Here is a 22,527-nt window from a genome sequence, read left to right on the forward strand (position 1 = left end):
GTTGCAGTGAGCTGAGATCACACCACCGCACTCCAGCCTGAGTGATAGAGTGGGACTCCATCTCAAAAAATTAAAATAAAAACAAAAATTTAAAAATTAAAAATATATGTAAACTCTAAAGACTCATGATATAGCAAATGTCAGTGTATCTATCACTGTTTAAGAAGAATATTGCCAGGCACGGTGGCTCACGCCTGTAATCCCAGCACTTTGGGAGGCTGAGGTGGGTGGATCACCTGAAGTCAGGAGCTTGAGACCAGCCTGGTCAACATGGTGAAACCCCATCACTACTAAAAATACAAAAAATTACCCAGGTGTTGTGTTACACAGCTGCAGTCTCAGCTACTCAGCAGGCTGAGGCAGGAGAATTGCTTGAACCCACGAGGCAGGTTGCAGTGAGCTGAGATCACACCACTGCACTCCAGCCTGAGTGACAGAATGGGACTCCATCTCAAAAAATTAAAATAAAAATTTTAAAAATTAAAAATATATGTAAACTCTAAAGAATCATGACATAGCAAATGTCAGTGTATCTATCACCCAGTTTAAGAAGAATACTGCCGGGAGTGGTGGCTCACGCCTATAATCCCAGCACTTTGGGAGGCTGAGGTGGGTGGATCACTTGAGGTCAGCAGTTTGAGACCAGCCTGGGCAAAATGATGAAACCCTGTGTCCACTAAAAATACAAAAATTAGCCAGGTGTGGTGGTGGACGCCTGTAATCCCAGCTACTCAGGAGGCTGAAGCAGGAGAATTTCTTGAACCCAGGAGGCAGAGGTTGCCGTGAGTGGAGATCACTCCACTGCACTCCAACCTGGGTGACAGAGCAAGACTCTGTCTCAAAAAAAAAAAAAAAAAAGGGCCAAGCGCGGTGGCTCACGCCTGTAATCCTAGCACTTTGGGAGGCCAAGGCAGAAGGATCATGAAGTCAGGAGATTAAGACCAGCCTGGCCAACATGGCAAAACCCAGTCTCTATTAAAAATACAAAAACTAGCCAGGCATGGTGGCACATGCCTGTAATCCCAGCTACTGGGGGGCTAAGGCAGAAGGATGCTTGAACCTGGGAGGCAGAGGTTGCAGTGAGCTGGGATCACGCCACTGCACTCCAGCCTGGGCAACAGACCAAGACTCTGTCTCAAAAAAACAAAAAAGAATATTACTATTAGCCTTAAAGCCCCCTGCATACTCTCCCAAAGCCATCTCCTTTCCTTATCCTGAAATAACTATCTTAAACGTGTGACGTGTGTTTACCATTTCCTTTACTTTATAGTTTTATCACATTTCTATCTCTAAATGTTATATTGTTTAGTGTCACATTCTAGAACTTCATATGACTCTAATATATATACATATATATGTGTATATATATGTGTGTATATATATATGTGTGTGTGTGTGTGTGTATATATATATATATATATATATATATATATATATTTTTTTTTTTTTTTTTTTTTTAAAGATACAGGGTCTTACTTTGTTGTCCAGACTGGAATGCAGTGCATGATCACTCTTTGTAACCTGTAACTCCTGGGCTCAGGCAATCCTCCTACTTCAGCCTCCTGAGTAGCTGGGACCACAAGCGTGTGCCACCATGCCCAACTAATTTTTTTTTTTTTTGAGACTGTTTTCCTGTTGTTCACGGTGAAGTGCAGTGGTGCAATTACAGATCACTGCAGCCTCAAACTCCTGGGCTCAAGAGATCCTCCCAAGTAGCTGGGACCACAGGCAGGCACCACCAATGCCCAGCTAGTTTTTAAATTTTTTGTAGAGACAGGGTCTTCTTACGTTGTCCAGGGTGGTCTCGAACTACTGGGCTCAAGGGATCCTCCCGCCTTGGCCTCCCAAAAGGCTGGGATTACAGGCATGAACTACTGCGCCCAGCCACTTTTAAAATTTTTTTGTAGAGACAGTGTCTCACTATATTGCCCAGGTTGGTCTTGACCTGATTTTTTTATTTCTAATATTAACGTATATACCCTTCTGCAACTTTTTGTTCTTGAGATTAGTTTATGTTGCTATAGCTGCGATTTACTTTTTCACTGCTATATAGTATTCTATTGTAGGAACATATCATGATTAACTTATCCAATCTCAAGTTGATCGACATTGGGATTTTTTCTCCAGTTTGAATTTTCTGTTAGTTTGTTTTGCTATTGTCAACAGTGTTGCTATGGATGTTTTTGTACATGTCTCCTGGTCCACATATGTAAAGTTCTTTAGGGTAAATACCCAGGAGTGGAATTTCTGGGTCACAGGGCATGTACATCTTTAATTATGAGACAATACCAAATTGTTTTTCCAAAATGGTTGTGCTCATTTACACTTCTGCTTGCAGAGTTCTAGTTGCTTCACATCCTTCCCAACATTTTTTGTCAGACTTTAATTTTTACCAATCTGATGAACATAAAACCAATATATCACTGCAGTTTTAATTTGCATTCCTCCGATTACTGATGAGGCTGAGCACCCCACCCCTTTTCATAGGAAGGAGTTACTTTTTGTTTTTCCAAAACACTGAGATCAAGCTCTCTCCATGAAAGTCTGGAATGGCTAGAGTATGTGCCAGCAGCTGCCTCCTAATAATTAACCAGATGAAGTCTGGTCTCTTTCAGCACTAAGGTAAAACTGTATGACCAAATCTCTGGCATATATCAACACATGACATAGCAGGAAACCTGAAAATTTTTATCTGAGAATTGGGGGTGGGTTAGGGATGTGAGAAGGGCCGAGACTGAGAAAAATCAGACTAGGAATGATCAGAGAGAATGTGTTATTTAAGGCCCTTCACTAACTGACACGAACATACTTGTTTAGCCTCATCTCTGGCCACACCTTTCCAATGCTCTAGCCTGCAGCCACTCACTGCTCACCACAGAAGCCCTGCACTCCAATGTCTCTGTGATTTCACTCAAGACATTTGCCACTTCCTGGATTACTTACCTTTTTGTTTTTTTCCTGCTTCTTAGAATGTGATTAACGCTTCCCGGCCCAGTTCAAGTGTAATTGCTTCCATGAAGCTATCCTGACCCCATTCCCCAGAAAAAATTAATCAAGCTTTCATCTACTCCAAGAGAACTCTATTATTACTTTATTATAGAATCCATCCCATATTACAGTTGGAACACGAAGACTGTGAGCTCTTTGAGGGAAGGTACTATCTTTTAAATCCTGTGGTGCTAAGCAGCCCTTCTGTCACTCATCAAATCTTCATAAAATTCCTGATAAATGGACAGAAAGATGAACATAAATCTACTGGGAAACAAATCTCTAAACAGTGAAAAGGTTAGGATGGGTGCAGTGGCTCACACCTGTAATCCCAGCACTTTGGGAGGCCGAGGCAGGCGGATCACGAGGTCAGAAGATCGAGACCATCCTGGCTAACACAATAAAACCCCATCGCTACTAAAAATACAAAAAATTAGCCAGGCGTGGTGGCGGGCACCTGTAGTCCCAGCTACTCGGGAGGCTGAGGCAGGAGAATGGCGTGAACCCAGGAGGCAGAGCTTGCAGTGGGCTGAGACTGCACCACTGCACTCTATCCTGGGCTACAGAGCGAGACTCTAAAAAAAAAAAAAAAAAAAAAACAACAATGGAAAGGTTCTTTCTGACTCTTGCAGACTATGAAGAAAAAAAATCAGAGAAAAAGCAAGGAAGGAGATAAGGAGTAGGAGCTAATGAAAAAGAAAACAGGACAACTGGGTCCCCTTAGTAGAGGTCCATATCAGATAGGCCAGGAAGTAAAAATGTAAACCATAGTTCACCATTTTAATGTAGGGGACAACAACATGGAAAGTGAAATTTAGAACTGATTTTAAAACTATAGGCTGTATCTTGAAAGTGATCAAATTTAACTGGAAAATTATTTGGATATTCCCTAGTGGTTAGGAATAAATAAATAAATACATAATTTGGTCATGGTGCTTTCCTCTGGAAGAAGTTAAGTAAAACTTCCATTTATTTAATAGTTAAAGGTTTTCTCTTTTTTTTTTTTTTTTTTGGAGACAGAGTCTCATTCTGTCACCCAGGCTGGAATGCAATGGTGCGATCTCAGCTCCACTGCAACCTCCGCCTCACGGGTTCAAGTGATTCTCCTGCCTCAGCCTCCCAAGTAGCTGGGAATATAGGCGTCCGTCCGCCGCCACGCCCGGCAATTTTTTTTGTATTTTTAGTAGAGATGGTGTTTTGTCATGTTGGCCAGGCTGGTCTCAAACTCCTGACCTCAGGTGATCTGCCCGTCTCGGCCCCCCAAAGTGCTGGGATTTACAGGCGTGAGCCACCGGGTCCTGCCTGTATTTTTTTCTAGTAGAGATGGGGTGTTTCACCATATTGGCTAGGCTGATCTTGAACTCCTGAACTCAAGTGATCCACCTGCCTCGGCCTCCGAATGTGCTGGGATTATAGGCATGAGCCACCACGTCAGACCAGGTTTTCTATTTTTTTCTTACATCATCTTGGTAAGTTATCTTTTCCTAGGAGCTTGTCCATTTTTATGTAAGTCCTCAAATTAACTGGCACAGTATTTATTAAATTGATTAGTAGGGTCGGGAGCAGTGGCTCATGCCTATAATCCTAGCACTTTGGGAGGCTGAGGCAGGTGGATCCCCTGAGCTCAGGAGTTCAAGACCAGCCTGGACAACATGATATAACTCTGCCTCTACAAAAACTTACAAAACTTAGTCAGGCATGGTGGCTGACGCCTGTAGTCCCAGCTACTCAGCAGACTAAGGTGGGAGGATCACTTGGGCCCAGGAGGTGGATTAGTAAAAATTATTGTTATTAAGACAAAACGGATAGAAGAATGGAAGAATGGAATAATGGCAGAGTATAATCCAGACATAAAGATCTGGGATTCAACAATATTGTGACCTTTTTTTTTTTTTTTAAGAGACGGGGTCTTACTCTGTTGCCCAGGCTAGAGGGCTGTGGCTTAATCATAGCTCACTGCAGCCTCAAACTCCTGGGCTCAAGTGACCCTCTTGCCTCAGCCTCCTGAGTAGTTAAGACTATAGGTGTGAGCTACCTCTCCTGGCTAATTTTTAAAAATTTTTGTAGAAATTAGGTATCACTATTTTGCCCAGGCTGGTCTCAAATTCCTGGGCCTCAAGCAATCCTCCCACCTTTACCTCCCAAAGTGCTAGGGTTACAGGCATAAGCCACCACACCCAGCCTAATATTTCAATATTTTAACGTATCTCTGTGTTCTCAGAATATAGGTTTCTTTTGGACAGGAGATTGTGTCTTTTGCACACACTGTGTTGTCAAAAGTATTTGTTGGCTGGGCGCGGTGGCTCATGCCTGTAATCCCAGCACTTTGGGAGGCCGAGACAGGCGGATTGCCTGAGCTCAGGAGTTCGTGACCAGCTTGGGTAACACAGCGAAACTCTGTCGCTACTAAAATACAAAAAAAAATTAGCCAGGCATGGTGGCCTGCACCTGTAGTCCCAGCTCCTTGGGAGGCTGAGGCAGGAGAAGTGCTTAAACTCGGGCGGCGGAGGTTGCAATGAGCCAAGATCGCGTCACTGCCCTCCAGCCTGGGTGACAGAGCGAGATTCTTAAAAAAAAAAAAAAAAAAAAAAAAAAGGCCTTGTTGATTTCCTATGTCAAATAAAAAACATAAAATTGGTAATTCAAGGCAAATAGGTATTTATTTTATTATTTTAATAGTTCATTTTCATTAATGCATGGTTGATCCCAGTTAAAGATAACAAATATTTGTAGTTTTCCTCAAAAATAAAGATTTTTAAAAATTAAGTAAAAATTAGGTCGGGGGCAGTGGCTCACTGTAATTCCAGTGCTTTGGGAGATCAAAGCAGGTGGATCACTTGAGGCCAGGAGTTTGAGACCAGCCTGGCCAACATGGTGAAAAACCGTCTACTAAAAATACAAAAATTAGTTGGGCGTGGTGGTGCATGCCTGTAATCCCAGCTGCACGGGGTGCTGAGGCAGGAGAATTGCTTGAAACTGGGAGGTGGAGGTTGCAGTGAGCCGAGATCACGCCTCTGCACTCCAGCCTCGGTGACAGAGCGAGATTCTGCCTCAAAAAAAATAAAAAATTAAAAAATTTTTTTTAAAAAATTGTAAAAATTGGCAGCCGAGCGCAGAGGCTCATGCCTGTAATCCTAGCACTTTGGGAGGCTGAGGCAGGCGGATCACCTGAAGTCAGGAGTTTGAGACCAGCCTGGCCAACATGGTAAAACCCTGTCTCTACTAAAAATACAAAAATTAGCCAGGTGAGGTGGCAGGCGCCTGTAATCCCAGCTACTCAGGAGGCTGAGGAAGGGGAATCACTTCAACCCAGGAAGCGGAGGTTGCAGTGAGCCGAGATCACACCATTGCACTCCACTGGGCAACAAGAGCGAGACTCCATCTAAAAAAAAAAAAAAGTTTCAGAGGCCATTCTCATTTGTGAATTTTTTGTTGTTGTTGAGACCTGGCCGTGCCTGTCATGCAGTCTGCAGTGCAGTGGTGTGATCATACCTCACTGTAGCTTCAATCTCTCGGACTCAAGTGATCCTCCTGCCTCAGCCTCCCAAGTAGCTAGGAATATGGGTATGTGCCATCATACCTGGCTAATTTTTAAAATTTTTAGTAGGGACAAGGTCTGGCTATGTTATCCAGGCTGGTCTCCAACTCCTGAGCTCAAGTGATCCAGCCTCCTAAAGTGCTAGGATTTACAGGCATTGAGCCATCCTGCTGGGCCACATTCATAAATCTGACATAAATAAAACATCTATCCTTTTAAATATAGGAATTCACTGAATTTAAAGAAAACAGCCACCAAGAATAGGAAATTTAAACAGCTTTGAACTATAAAATATACATTATTTTTAAAAAATAAAAATGTAATCAAGACTATTATTACTATAAAAGTACATCTCATAATTTAAGGGGAAAGTCATTTTAGTGGTTTAAAAAAAACTTATGTTCACATGTGTTTTATCCATTCTTCCTCCAAACTTTATACCACAGTAGTTAACTGGTAGGAAGGCTATCTGATATAAATTTCAGTGTCCTTGCCTGTCCCACCCCCTATCACCCTAGTGGATACATACTTGGTTAAATACATACTGTATAAGGAAGCAAAAAGGTAGTTTGATCTTTAAAAATCCACAATAGATTCTATTAGAATAATTTTGAAAGTTTAGCGATTTGACTACAAATACTAGCCCTCTATCAATGAAGGACAACCTCTAATTGGACGCAGCTTCAGAACAGTGTTACTGCAAATAAGTATAACAGATCAATGAGATAACACATATGCTTTGATTCTAGACTGGTATAATCCTTTTTAACAAACATTAACACAGCCTCTAGTACCATACAATAAGGTTATTTCCAAGTATCTATAGGAAGTTGATGACAGTAATATTTCTCTGCCAGTCCAGTAATGCAGATGCATTTACCAGCTCCTCTCCTTGTAGAAATCCTGTTAATAAAGATATTTTGGGATTTATGGTTTTAAATGCCAATTTTTTTTTTAATGGGACAAGTGTTATAGAAATTCCTGCTGGTATTTTTCAGACTTGGAGGAAATGAAGTTTGACAAAGAATATTTCCTGAGTGGTCTGGAGGGAAGTAAAAGAATTAGCAAAATCGAGAGAATATGAAAATGAATCAGGTAAAGGCCTGAGTTCTGTTGGCGAAAGAAAAAATGCACCTGTATTATGTAAATAAGAATCCATGGTAAACAAGATTCAATTATAATGAAGCAATTATCATGTCCTGTCACATTTGTGAAAACTAAACTCTGCCAAGAGGTATCCTTTCAGGGTGTCCATTCACCTTGGTTTACATCAATCATCCCAGAGTGATTATTAAAAGTATTTTCTCTCACTCTTAAAAGTGAACCAGTTTACACATTATATGATCACCCTATCCTTGAAGAACCAGGAGGCAGAGCTATTAACATAGCCCCATGTTCAGCGTCCAATCATAGTCCCATAGCCAAAATGGAGTACAGATATACCTCATTTATCTAACACTGTGAATAGAGCAAAATAGTCCTATAATTCAGAACATGAATTCTGAAACCAAATGACCTGGGTTCAAATCTCAGCTCTGCTAAATATACTCTTCAGCTGTATAACCTTAGAAAAGTTTTTGGCCAGGCGCAGTGGCTCACGCCTGTAATCCCAGCACTTTGGGAGGCCGAGGTGGGTGGATTACGAGGTCAGGAGATCGAGACCATCCTGGCTAACACAGTGAAACTCTGAAATCCCGTCTCTATTAAATATACAAAAAATTATCTGGGGGTGTTTGTGGGCGCCTGTAGTCCCAACTACTCGGCAGGCTGAGGCAGGAGAATGGCGTGAACCCGGGAGGCGGAGCTTGCAGGGAGCAGAGATCACGCCACTGCACTCCAGCCTGGGTGACAGAGCAAGACTCCGTCTCAAAACACAAAAACAAACAACAAAAAAAAGGTTTTTACTTTTTATTTTGAAATAATTGCAAACTTGGAGAAAAGTTGCAAGAATATTACAAAGAATTCTCATATACCCTTCACTTAGGTTCACTAACTGCTAACATTTTGCCACATTTACTTTACACATCTCTCCACACACATTCACATACACACACAGAATTAATTAATTAATGAATTAATTAAGACAGGGTCTCACTCTGTCGCCCAGGCTGGAGTGCAGTGGCGCTACCATGACTCAATACAGCCTTGACCTCCCAGGCTCAGGCGATCCTCCCACTTCAGCATTTTTTTTTTTTTTTTTTGAGACGGAGTCTCGCTCTGTCTCCCCGGCTGGAGTGCAGTGACGACGGATCTTGGCTCACTGCAAGCTCCGCCTCCCGGGCTCACTCCATTCTCCTGCCTCAGCCTCCCGAGCAGCTGGGACTACAGGCGCCCGCCACCACGCCCAGCTAATTTTTTTTTTTAAATTTCTTATTTTTCGTAGAGTCGGGGTTTCACCGTGTTAGCCAGGATGGTCTCGATCTCCTGACCTCGTAATCCACCCGCCTCGGCCTCCCAAAGTGCTGGGATTACAGGCGTGAGCCACCGCGCCTGGCCCACCTCAGCCTTTCAAGTAGCTGGGACTACAGGTACACACCAATAGGCCTGGTTATTTTTTGTATTTTTGGTAGAGACAGGGTTTCACCATGTTGCCCAGGCAGTCTCAAACTCTTGGGATCAAGTGATCCTCCCACCTTGGCCTCCCAAAGTGTGGAGATTACAGGTCTGAGCTACCACACACGGCCACTCACTATTTTATTACTTTTTTTTTTTTTTTTTGAGATGGAGTCTCGCTCTGTCACCCAGGCTGGAGTGCAGTGGTGCGATCTCGGATCACTGCAACCTCTGCCTGCCAGGTTGAAGCAATTCTCCTGCCTCAGCCTCCCAAGTAGCTGGGACTAAAGGCACATGCCACCGTTCCCGGCGAATTTTTGTATTTTTAATAGAGATGGGGTTTCTCCATGCTGGCCAGGCTGGTCTCAAACTCTTGACCTCGTGATCTGCCCACCTTGGCCTCCCAAAGTGCTGGAATTACAGGTGTGAGCCACCGTGCCTGGCCCTATTATTAATTTTTTAACCATTTGATAATAGGTTGTAGACATCATGTCCTTTCTCCAAATACTTCAATGGGTTATTTTCTAAAAACAAACTACAGTTCAATTATCACATTAGGAAATTTAACAATAACACACTATTATTATCTAATGTAAAGTTCGTATCTTTTACCCGTTGTCTCACTAATGCTCTTGAAGAAAAACAAAAAAAGAGAGAGAGAGATGGGGTCTCTCTATGTTGCCCAGGCTGGTCTCAAATTCCTGGGCTCAAGCGATCCTCCCATCTTGGCCTTCCAAAGAGCTGGTATGACAGGCATGAGCCACCATACCCTTCCCTACTAATGCTCTTTATGGAAAATTTTTCCCTCAACCCAGAATCCCAATAAAGAATCTTGGGTAGATTTCTTAACCTCTCTGTATATCAGTTTCCCCATCTATAAATTGGAGATTAATAATAGCACCTACTTCATAAGATTATTGAGAAAAATGAAAGAGTAAATATAATAAGGAATTTAGAACAGTTGCTGATATTCAGTGCAGGTGTTAGCTGCTTTTATTTTTATTATTTTAATTTTTTTTTTTAGATGGAGTCTCACTCTGTCGCAATGGTGCGATCTAGACTCACGGCAACCTTCGCCTCCTGCGTTCAAGCATTTCTTGTGCCTCAGCCTCCCAAGTAGCTGGGATTACAGGTGCGCGCCACCATGCCTGGCTAATTTTAGTATTTTTAGTAGTGACAGGATTTCACCATGTTGGCCAGGCTGGTCTTGAACTCCTGACCTCAAGTGATCCGCCTGCCTGGACCTCCCAAATTGCTGGAAGTACAGGCATGGGCCACTATGCCTGGCCGTTAGCTGCTTTTAGAGAATGGCAGACTTCATATAAGGTAAAACTGTCAGATAATGGAAATAATTATTTAGAGACTATGCTTTTTGAAGGTATTTTAATGAAAATCTGTAAAATATATTGTGCATATCAATTATTTTCTGAACAGAATATATTATAGATATTTTAACTTTTTCTTAGAAACTCAGGGTCTTCACATCTGCAGTGGTACTGCTATAAAACTGTGATACTGGCCGGATGCGGTGACACCTGTAATCCCAGCACTTTGGGAGGCTGAGGCAGGCGGATCTTGAGGTCAGGAAATCGAGACCATCCTGGCTAACACGGTAAAACCCCGTCTCTAGAAAAAATACAAAAAATCAGCCGAGTGGTGGCGGGTGCCTGTAGTCCCAGCTACTCAGGAGGCTGAGGCAGGAGAATGGAGTTAGCCCGGGAGGTGGAGCTTGCAGTGAGCCGAGATAGCGCCACTGCACTCTAGCCTGGGCGACAGAGTGAGACTCTGTCTCAAAAAAAAAAAAAAAAAAAAAAACTATGATACTGTCAGAGGCACCTGAGGTGTGAGGTTTACATATGCCTATATAGTAAAATGTCTGCAAAGTTCTGGACAGACAACTTGAATCTCTTGTCTGCTGTCCTGCTTCTGATCATTAGTATATATTAACATGCCTCCTTTATATTATTATTATTATTTTTTTTTTTTTTTGAGACAGAGTTTCACTCTTGTTGCCCAGGCTGGAGTACAATGGCAGGATCTTGGCTCACCGCAACCTCAGCCTCCCGAGTTAGCTGGGATTAAAGGCATGTGCCACCACGCCCGGCTAATTATGTATTCTTAGTAGAGACAGGGTTTCTCCATGTTGGTCAGGCTGGTCTGGAACTCCTGACCTCAGGTGATCCGCCCACCTCAGCCTCCCAGCCTCATCTATATTATTCTAATAATAATTTTGGTCATACAAAGCTTCTAGTTTAAACAGTACTTTCAGCTGGGCATGGTGACTCACGCATGTAATCCAAGCACTTTGGGAGGCCGAGGCGGGTGGATTGCCTGAGGTCAGCAGTTAGAGACCAACCTGACCAACATGGTGAAACCCCATCTCTACTAAAAATAAAAAAAATTAGCTGGGCATGGTGGTGGGTGCCTGTAATCCCAGCTATTCAGGAGGCTAAGGCAGGAGAATCATTTGAACCCAGGAGGTAGAGGTTAGGTTACAGTGAGCCAAGATCACACCATTGCACTCTAGCCTGGGCAAAAGAGGAAAACGGTCTCAAAAAAAAAAGTACTTTCATATCTTTCATTAATTCAATAAATATCATTTGATTAATTAGCTGATATGAATCTTACAATTAGTCTGTGAGGTTAAAAAAAAACATATATTACTACTCCCAATTTTAACTACCTAATTATAGACAAATAAATTAAAGCTCAAAGAGGTCAAATGACACTTTGGGCCACAGAGTCAATAGGCCACACAGTCAGCCCTCATACACCTGGGTCCTCTGTGTGTCAATATACACAATTATCTGAGTGAGGTCCTGAGCTGATGCTACTGTTGAAGTAAAATGAACAATCTTTACCACTTAGAAGCACTTCCAGCTTACTTTTATATTTATTTATTTGTTTATTCATTTTGAGACAGAGTCTCGCTCTGTCGCCCAGACTGGAGTGCAGTGGCACGATCTTGGCTTACTGCAACCTGTGCCTCCTGGGTTCAAGCAATTCTCCTGCCTCAGCTTCCCAAGTAGCTGGGATTACAGGCGCGTGCCACCACGCCCGGCTAATTATTGTATTTTTAGTAGAGACAGGGTTTCACCATGTTGGCCAGGCTGGTCTTGAACTCCTGACTTTGTGATCCACCCGCCTTGGCCTCCCAAAGTGCTGGGATTACAGCCTTTACTTTTATTTTTTATTTCCGAAAGCAGCAGGAGAAAAACAGCTTACTTTTAAAGACGCAAGGAAACACATTCTGACTGGCTGAGACTGCCAGATGTCTGACTTTCAGATGCTGTTCCTCTTTACTTCTCAAATATCTTTCTAAAATTCTCTGAACGCTACAGCCACACTTTATTAATATAGACTCCACACATGAAAGTTGAGATATATTCAGAACTGAGCTGAAGTTTACCTCTGCACTCTAATAAAGACTAAGAAAACAGTGTAAATAAGATTGCAGGGAGAAATGTTTAATGAGCTGTTTTTAAGCATTTCAAGTCTAATTTACATACAATTAAAGTTAATTTGCACACCATTCTCAGCTATTCATTAAACCAGGTACAAGGATCTCTATCTAACAAAATAACCTGGTAACACTATTAGCCTAGTTTCAATTACTGTATGAACTCAAAGTAACAGCTGCATCTAAAGAAAAATAACCTACAACACTCTCACTAGGTTTTCCCCCAATTAGCCCAAATTAATGAGGTTTAATACTACCTCCATGATGACCCACAAAACCTATCTTCCCCTGATGACCCCTACAGTATAAGCTAAAATGTAGTTAAACCACCTGTCCTAGAGACTAGGCAGAGGAAGCAAGACAAAATGGCAATGGCTAAGGAAGGCTACGGTTCTAGGGCAGATTACGGTACTAAATCTGTGCTACCTTAGTTAAATCACTCAACTTCTCTTGCCTTCAGCTGCCTCTTTTACAAAATGAGGGAGCTAATAATGTGGTCTCTAAACACAATATCGCAATAAGAGGATCCAGAGCTTAGGGGAAAGGGCAGAAAATGTACAAGATGAGTTGGGAACACATTATCGTGCTAGAAAGCAAGGAACACTATCAAAGACTGCTGAAATTATGTCAAAAGGAATCAGGAGCTAGCTTGAAGAACTTCCCACTGGTCCAATATGAAACAAAGTTAACATCAATAAGAATAACTGCAATGGATTAAAACACATCAAATATGTTAACACCTAAAAGTTCCTGATCATGCCCTAAAAAACCCTAAAAAGTCACTGGTCCTCTCTGGAGTATATCTGAAAACCAACTCATTATTTTGAAAACTAGTAAATGAAAGAATAAAGGGAATGAATTAAGTATTTACCTTGCCTTCCTTGTACATATCAAACCCCAGGGTAACCAAAGAGTTGATAAAGTAAACTTTTTCTTTTTTGAAGTATTCCAGATGATAAACAACAACAAAAAAGAATGATAGAATTAAAATCTAATCATTTTTCACACATTTAATGAAATCATGGATCTAGGTAATCATCATCCATGACCACGTACAACAGAAAAAGAGACATCTGGACATTATGAGCCTCCTCACAGAATAATACACCACCACTTATGAAGTATTATTGCCAAAAAAGCAACCGGATTCAGTTCAAGCCTCTAGAGGAGCACTGCACAACAGGAGCCACTGCATACATGCAGCTATGGAGCACCAAAACCAGGGCCACTCCAAACCGATATGTGCCGTAAGTGCAAAGCACCAACTTTCAAAGATTTAATATTAAAAAAGGATGCTGCTGGGCGCAGTGGTGCATACCTGAAATTCCAGCCTTTGGGAAGCTGAGGTGAGAGGATGGCTTGAGGCCAGGAGTTCAAGATAAGCCTGGGCAACATAATGAAGCCCGTCTCTACAAATAATTTAAAAGTTAGCTGGGTGTGGTGGTGCATGCCTGTAGTCCTAGCTACTTGGGAGGCTGAGGTGGGAGCCCAGGTGGTTGAGGCTGCAATGAGCTGAAATCATGCCACTGTACTCCAGCCTGAAAAACAGAGTGAGAGCTCAGCTCAAGAAAAAAACAAATCACAATAATTTTTTATTGATTATATGTCATTATATTAATGTTAAAATAATAAGACTTTTCAGGCTGGGGTGCGGTGGCTCACACTGGTAATCCTAGCACTTTGGGAGACCGGGGCAGGCAGATTGTTTGAGCCCAGGAGTTTGAGATCAGCCTGGGCAACATGGAGAAACCCCATCCCTATAAAAAATATAAAAATTAGCTGGGTTGGTGGTGCACGCCTATAGTCCCAGCTACTTGGGAAGCTGAGGTGGGAGGGTCACTTGAGCCTGAGAAGTGGAGGTTGCAGTGAGTCGAGATAATGCCACACTGCACTACAGCCTGGGTGTCAGAGTGAGACCTTGTCTCAAAAAAAAAAAAAAAAACCAAAACACACACACACACACACAAAGAAAAAAATAATAGTTTGCAACTATTGGGTAAAATAAAGTTTTTCGTTTGTTTGTTTTCTGTTTTTTTTTTTTGAGATGGTGTCCAGGCTGGAATGCAGTGGTGCAATCTCAGCTCACTGCAAGCTCCGCCTCCCGGGTTCATGCCATTCCCCTGCCTCAGCCTCCCGAGTAGCTGGGACTACAGGCACCTGCCACCACGCCCGGCTAACTTTTTGGATTTTTTAGTAGAGACGGCATTTCACCGTGTTAGCCAGGATGGTCTCAATCTCCTGACCTCGTGATCCGCCCGCCTTGACCTCCCAAAGTGCTGGGATTACAGGCGTGAGCCACCACGCCTAGCCAAAATAAAGTATATTATTAAAATGAATTTCCGGGGGGCGCAGTGGCTCACACGTGTAATCCCAGCACTTTAGGAGGCCGAGGTGGGCGGATCACGAGGTCAGGAGATGGAGACCAGCCTGGCTGACACGGTGAGACTCTATCTCTACTAAAAATATAAAAAACTAGCCAGGCGTGGTGGCACGCGACTGTAGTCCCAGCTACTGGGGAGGCTGAGGCAGGAGAATCGCTTGAACCCAGGAGGCGGAGGTTGCAGTACATCGAGATCACGCCACTGCACTCCAGCCTGGGTGACAGAGCAATTTCCTGTTTCTTCTTATCTTTTTAATGTGCCAAATAATTTTTTTTTTTTTGAGACAGGGTCTCACTCTGTCGCCCAGTCTGGAGTGTAGTAGCACAATCTCAGCTCACTGCAACCTCCACCTCCTGGGTTAAAGCAATTCTCGTGTCTCAGTCACCCAAGTAGATGGGATTACAGGCACATGCCACCACAAGCAGCTAATTTTTCTGTTTTAGTATAGATGGGGTTTTACCATGTTGACCAGGCTGAAATTTTAAATTTAATTAGAAGCTTGAATATTTCTGTTAGACAACACTCTCTAGATCTAACAACCAGTTTATAGGGAATAAAAGGGATAGAGGAATATAAATGAATTACAGAAATTCAACTAGCAAAGTCCAGAACGGGAGAATTACACAACTTTGTTTCTTTAACAACAGCAGCAATAACAAAAAAAAAACACCAGAGAAAAAAAGAACTGACCAGGCGTAGTGGCTCACGCCTGTAATCTCAGCACTTTGGGAGGCCGAGGCAGGCGGATCACCTGAGGTCAGGAGTTAGAGACCAGCCTGACCAACATGGTGAAATCCCGTCTCTACTAAAAATACAAAAATTAGCTGGTCGTGGTGGCTAATGCCTGCAATCCCAGCTACTCAGGAGGCTGAGGTAGGAGAATCATTTGAACCTGGGGGACAGAGGTTACAATGAGCCGAGATTGCGCCATTGCACTCCAGCCTGGGCGACAAGAGCGAAACTCCGTCTCCGGGGAAAAAAAAAAAAGAACTGAGAGAACCTGTAGATTAAAAAAGACGTAAAAGAGGCCGGGCACGGTGGTTCACGCCTGTAATCCCAGCACTTTGGGAGGCCAAGGAGGGTAGATCACCTGAGGTCAGGAGTTCAAGACCAGCCTGGCCAACATGGTGAAACCCCGTCTCTACTAAGAATACAAAAATTAGCTGGGTGCCGTGGTGGAGGCGGAGGTTGCAATGGGCTGAGATCGCGCCACTGCACTCCAGCCTGGCAACAGAGTGGGACTCTGTCTCAAAAAAAAAAAAAAAAAAAGGAGACATAGAAGCTATGTAAACCAAATCAATGTATCAACCTTGTCTGAAACCTGATTCAAATAAACCAAATGTTCAGAGAGAAGGGGTGGCAGGGATGAAGGGAGAGCAGAAAGAGAAATTAATTGTGGAAATTTGAACATTAACAGGATGCAGTGTGGTTATGTTTTTTAAAAACAGTCTCTTTATTTTTTACAGCTATACACAGAAATTAGCATTTAAATGATATGATGTCTGGGACTTGTTTCAAAATGATCTAAGGGGGATGAGGGAACGAATAGGGGTATGGATGAAACAAGACTGACCATGAGCTAATAATTGTTGAAGCTGAGTGTTGGGCATGTAAGGCCTCACTATATCACCCTCTCCACATCTGTATATGTTTGAAATTTTCTATACTTTTCTAAAGAACGAGATGAGCAGACAAGTTTATCTATAAAAACTTCTTGTAGCTTTTGAATCTACAAAAATGTATGAAAATAAGTCACAGAGTTGGCTAATACTTCAAGAGATCATTCGATCTAGTGTACCGCCTCCAGGACACACTACAACATTATCACATTCAGCAAATATTTATTGAGTAACTATTGAGCACAAAGGCGCTAACATTGTAGAAGATGCACAGAAATACAAGAACCAGTTTCTGTTTCAGGACTTTAGTCATATAGGAGAAATCAGAAAAGTACCTAAACATAAAACAAGGTAAAAAGTGATGAAGTTGACCAAGCGCAGTGGCTCATGTCTGTAATCCCAGCACTTCGGGAGGCCAAGGCTGGCAGATCACCTGAGGTCAGGAATTAGAGACCAGCCTGGCCAACATGGTGAAACCCCATCTCTACTAAAAATACAAAAATTAGCCAGGTGTGGTGGTGTGCACCTGTAGTCCCAGCTACTCGGGAGGCTGAGGCAGGAGAATCACTTGATCCCGAGAGGCAGAAAGGTTGCAGTGAGCAGAGATCGCACCACCACACTCCAGAGTGGGCGACAGAATGAGACTCTGTGTCAAAAAAAAAAAGGTGAAGTTACGGTTTAAGTATCATAAGCAAGGTAGTTTTTAAGTATATCAGAAGCCATCATAGAAGAGTGTCATATAACTGGGCATGAAAAATAGGCAGGATTTGGACATGTAGTGACAGGGAGTATTATATCTGAAGTGTACAGACAGTGTCAGCAGAAGCACAAAGGCAGAATATAATGAAACATTTTTGGGAAATGAAGATGAGCGCATTATTGCGCCTGTAGTGGGAAACAGAGCTGGAAAGACAAGTAGGGGCTAGACCACAGAATCTTAAATATCAGGCTGAGTTTGTACTTTAGTCAATAAGCATTGGGAGTCACACATTTGGAGTTCTAGATGATAGAATATTTAGGAAGAAACTATACACCTCACCTAAGTTTAGTAGAAAAGAATGGAGCTGGGGAGGGGGATGAAAATAAGGATAAATAATCAAGGCAAAAGGTAACACAGGACCTAAAATGCAGTAGTGGGAGGAAAAGACAGGGAGGGATCTGAGAGTGTCTGGGCATGAAAACAAGCAGGAGTTGAGAAGTCAACAGTAACTAAGATTTTACAACTGGATGAACTGGGAGAATGGTGGGGCCAATGTTTAGCATGTTGGCAGACCTATACCAGCCCTGAATAGTGTTCAATAAATGACTGACTGACTGAATAAATAAATAGAAATATGTGAGTCAAAATGAAGAGCAGTAAGTCAGGGGATTTGGGGGGCTGGGGAGTGGGGTGGGCAGGAGATAAGCTGAACCTTCTCATTGAACCTGTGTTCCTCACAAGGTTCTGAAGAACAAAATGCTGCCCAGGAGTGCTATGCATTTTCTTGGGAATGCACTTCTCTAAAGCAAAGGACTCATCATTAAAACCTACATAAAAGGTATAAAACCCATCCTTAAAACCAGTAAACATGCCTCCCAAGCAAGGAGGAGACAACCTGTACAATCTGACCACAGGTTCTCAAAAGCAGACAGCTCATGAAAAGCTGGAGGTGCAAGTAGGATATCAGTGAAGCGGTCCAATAGGAATTCTGGTACTGGAGCTGAGAGGCAAAAATATAGATGTGGCAGTTACTGCATGAAGGTTGTAACAGAAGACATAAGAGTAGGCTGTGGGCCGGGCGCGGTGGCTCACGCCTGTAATCCCAGCACTTTGGGAGGCCGAGGCGGGCGGATCACGAGGTCAGGAGATCGAGACCATCCCGGCTAAAAACAGTGAAACCCCATCTCTACTAAAAATACAAAAAATTAGCCGGGCGTAGTGGCGGGCGCCTGTAGTCCCAGCTACTTGGGAGGCTGAGGCAGGAGAATGGCGTGAACCCGGGAGGCGGAGCTTGCAGTGAGCCGAGATCCCGCCACTGCACTCCAGCCTGGGCGACAGAGCGAGACTCTGTCTCAAAAAAAAAAAAAAAAAAAAAGAGTAGGCTGTGCACAGAGCCTCAAACCTGTGATCCCAGCACTCTGAGAAGCTGTGACGGAAGAATCGCTTGAGTCCATGAGTTCAAGACCCTTGGCTCCACAAAAAATAAAATTAGCTGGGCATGGTGGTGTACATCTGTGGTCCCAGCTACTTGAGAGGCTGAGGTGGGAGGCTCACTTCAGCCCAGGAAGCTGAGGCTGCAGAAAGCCGAGATGGCGCCACTGTACTGCAGCCTGGCCAACAGCGCAAGAACCTGTCTCAAACACACACACACACAAAGAGTAGATGACCTCTCAATACAAAAGCAAAAAAAAGAGAAGCAAGGCCTGAGACAACTTAGGGACTGACAAAGGAGGATCAGGAAGGCAGAAAGAGAACCAGAACAATGTTGTGTCATAAAAGCTAAGAGAAGAATGTCCAGAAGGAAGGCCTGTTCAATCCTTATCTTCTTCCTTGACCCACAAATTCAACCCATCAACAAGCCTTATCAGCTCTACCTCCAAAATATATACTAAACACATCCATTTCTCTCCATCTCTTTAGCGACCTACCTAGTAGTTCAAACTTTCATCACTGCCTAGATTTCTGCAGTAGCCTGTTCAACCCACCTCAATCAAGTCCTGCCCCCAAATAATCCACTCTCTTTGTAGCAACTGGATTAATCTTTTAAAAATGGAAATCAGGGCCAGGCGCGGTGGCTTATGCCTGTAATCGCGGTACTTTCAGAGGCAGAGGCGGGCAGATCACGAGGTCAGGAGATGGAGACCACCCTGCCCAACATGGTGAAACCCTGTCTCTACTAAAAATAAAAAAATTAGCCGGGCATGGTGGCGGGTGCCTGTAATCCCATCTACTCGAGAGGCAGGAGAATTGCTTCAGCCCAGGAGACTGATGTGGTGGTAAGCTGAGACCACGCCACTGCACTCCAGCCTGTGTGCCAGAGCAAGACGCCAACTCAAAAAAAAAAAAAAAAATGTAAATCAAAACTGGGTGCAGTGATGCAAGCCTGTGATCCTAGCACTTTGGGAGGCTGAGGCAGGTGGATCACTTGAGCTCAGGAGTTCAGGACCAGCCTGGGCAACATGGTGAAATCCCATCTCTACAAAAAATACAAAAATTAGCCAGGCATGGTGGCTAGCACCTATAGTTCCAGCCACTTGGAAGGCTGAGATGGGAGGACTGCTTGAGCCCAGGAGGCAGAGGTTGCAGTGAGCTGAGATTTCACGACTGCACTCCAGCACTCCAGCACTCCAGCCTGGGTGACACAGTGAAACCCCGTCTCCAAAAAAAAAAAAAAAAAAAAAAAAGGGGAAATCAGGCCAGGGTGGCTCATGCCTGTAACCCCAGCACCTTGGGAGGCCAAGGCAAGGATTGCTTGAGGCCAGGAGTTCAAGACCAATCTGGGCAACAAAGCAAGACCCCATCTTTACCAAAAAAAAAAAAAAAGGAAGAAAATTAGTATGGCATGAAGATGTGAGCCTGTAGCCCTAGCTACTTAGGAGGCTGAGGTGGGAGGATCCCTTGAGCCCAGAAATTCAAGGCTGCAGTGAGCCATGATGGCACCACTGCATTCCAGCCTGGGAGACACAGCAAGACCTTGTCTCAAAAAAAAAAAAAAAAAAGGAAACAAACAACAAAAAAAATTGTGCTTTATAGGGCATGATCATGAAAAGTGAAAAGACAACCCACAGAATGGGAGAAAATCTTTGTAAATAATTTATCTGATAACCTGTATCCGGAATAAAGAACTATTAAAATACAATAAAAGGACAAATAACCCAATTTTAAAAGAAGCAACAGATTTAAATAGACATATAAATAGCCAATAAATGGCCAAGAGCGGTGGCTCATGCCTCTAATTCCAGCACTTTCAGAGGCCGAGGCGGGCGGATCACGAGGTCAGGAGATGAAGACCATCCTGGCTAACATGGTGAAACCCCGTCTCTACTAAAAATACAAAAAATTAGCCGGGCGTGGTGGCAGGTGCCTGTAGTCCCAGCTACTCGGGAGGCTGAGGTTGCAGTGAGCCAAAACTGCACCACTGCACTCCACCCTGGGTAACAGAGCAAGACTCCAGACTCCATGGCCAAAAAAAAAAAAAAAAAAAGAAAGAAAAAAAAAGTTACATTGTTAATCATGGAAAAAATTGTAACAGAGGAGGAAAGAGGGGTATTGGAAGAAACAACACAGTAAGTCCTCACTTAACTCATCAATAGATTCTTGGATATTACTATTTTAAGCAAAACAATGTATAACAAAACCAATTTTACCACAGTCTAATGTAAACAAGAGTTAAGTTCCTATAGCATATTTCTGGTCACAAAAAACATCACCAAACTTCTAAAGAAAGACCAAAACACTTCCAATATTAAACACTGAAACAAATGTGAGCTACACAAACATTTAAGAAAGATTAATAAAAACAAGAAAGATAAGTATTTACCTAATTATTCCAGTTCAGGGTCATGGGTGGCCGGAGCCTGTCCCAACAGCCCAGGGAGCAAGGTGGGAACCAACTCTGGGCAGGATGCCATCCCATCAATCACACACGCACCCACACTCACTCAGACTGGGACCATTTAGAGACACCAATTCATCAAACACGAACAATTCTGTGATGCGGGAGGAAACCAGAGTACCTGGAGGGAAACCAAAGTACTGGAGAAAGCCCACACAGATGTGGGGAGAACGTGCAAACTACACAGACAGTAGCCCCGGCCAGGAATACATTTTTTTTCTCATCAACATTATAACGCAATGAAGGTGAACAAAATAATGTTATTCAAAGACCTGTTGTAATGGCCATGAGTTGATACTTGTTGAGGCTAGGAGATAGATACATAGGAGTTCATTACATCATTCTCTTTACTTACATGTATGCTTGATATTTTTTCATTAAAAAGTTTTTTTTTTAAATCTTCAAGCACCTCAATTTAAAAACAAAACACTTCTTCCAGACTTCCCATTTACTTAAAAATAAAACACACCCAGGCAAAGTAGCTCACACGCCTGTAATCTCAGCACTCTGGGAGGCTGAAGCTGAGGATCACTTGAGCCCAGGAGTTCAAGAATAGCCTAGGCAACATAGTGAGACTCCATCTCCATAAAAAATAAAACAATTAGGCTGGGCATGGTGGCTCACACCTCTAATCCCAGCACTTTGGGAGGCTGAGGTGGGCGGATCACGAGGTCACAAGATCGAGACCATCCTGGCCAACATGATGAAACCCCGCCTCTACTAAAAATACAAAAATTAGCTGCGCATGGTGGCATGAGCCTATAGTCCCAGCTACTCAGGAGGCTGAGGCAGGAGAATCGCGCCTAAACCCAGGAGGCAGAGGTTGCAGTGAGCCGAGATCATGCCACTGCCCTCCAGCTTGGGCAACAGAGCGAGACTCTGCCTCAAAAAAAAAATAAAAATAAAAAATAAAACAATTAGCCTGGCATGGTGACCTGCATCTGTAGTCCCAAGTACCCAAGAGGCTGAGGTGGGAGGATCACTTGAGCCACAGAGGTTAAGGCTGCAGTGAGCCATGATCGCACCACTGCACTCCAGCCTAGGTGACAGAGTGGGATCTTGTCTCAAAAACAAAACAAAACAAAACAAAATACACACAAAACTCCTGGCCAGATGTGGTGGCTCACATCTGAAAGCCCACCACTTTGGGAGGCTGAGGCAGGAGGACTGCTTGAGGCCAGGGGTTCAAGACCAGCCTGGGCAACACAGTGAGATGCAATCTCTACACATAAAATTTAAAAATTAGGCAGGTGTGGTGTTATGTAACTGTAGTCCCAGTTACGCAGGAGGCTGAGGCAGGAGTTCAAAGCTGCAGCGAGCCAAGACTGTGCCACTAGCCTGGGCAACAGAGCAAGACCTTGTCTCAAAATATAAATAAACAGAACTCCTTAAC

The 22,527-nt window shown here is 43.2% G+C and overlaps 1 protein-coding gene across 2 annotated transcripts in view, besides 1 other annotated feature; it reads right to left on the minus strand.

Annotated features, from left to right (window-relative positions):
• WASF2 (WASP family member 2) overlaps positions 1-22,527 on the minus strand; it is an 85,938-nt gene that overhangs the window by 48,522 nt on the left and 14,889 nt on the right. The gene's annotated exons all lie outside the window — the stretch shown is intronic.
• Positions 2,608-2,757: an enhancer, noted in NCBI's record as "active region_550". NCBI's record gives its function as "activates an Ori minimal core promoter by ATAC-STARR-seq in GM12878 lymphoblastoid cells {active_cell/tissue: GM12878}" and the evidence as "EXISTENCE:reporter gene assay evidence [ECO:0000049][PMID:35858748]".

Source organism: Homo sapiens, chromosome 1 (assembly GCF_000001405.40).
Source record: "Homo sapiens chromosome 1, GRCh38.p14 Primary Assembly".
NCBI lineage: Eukaryota > Metazoa > Chordata > Mammalia > Primates > Hominidae > Homo > Homo sapiens.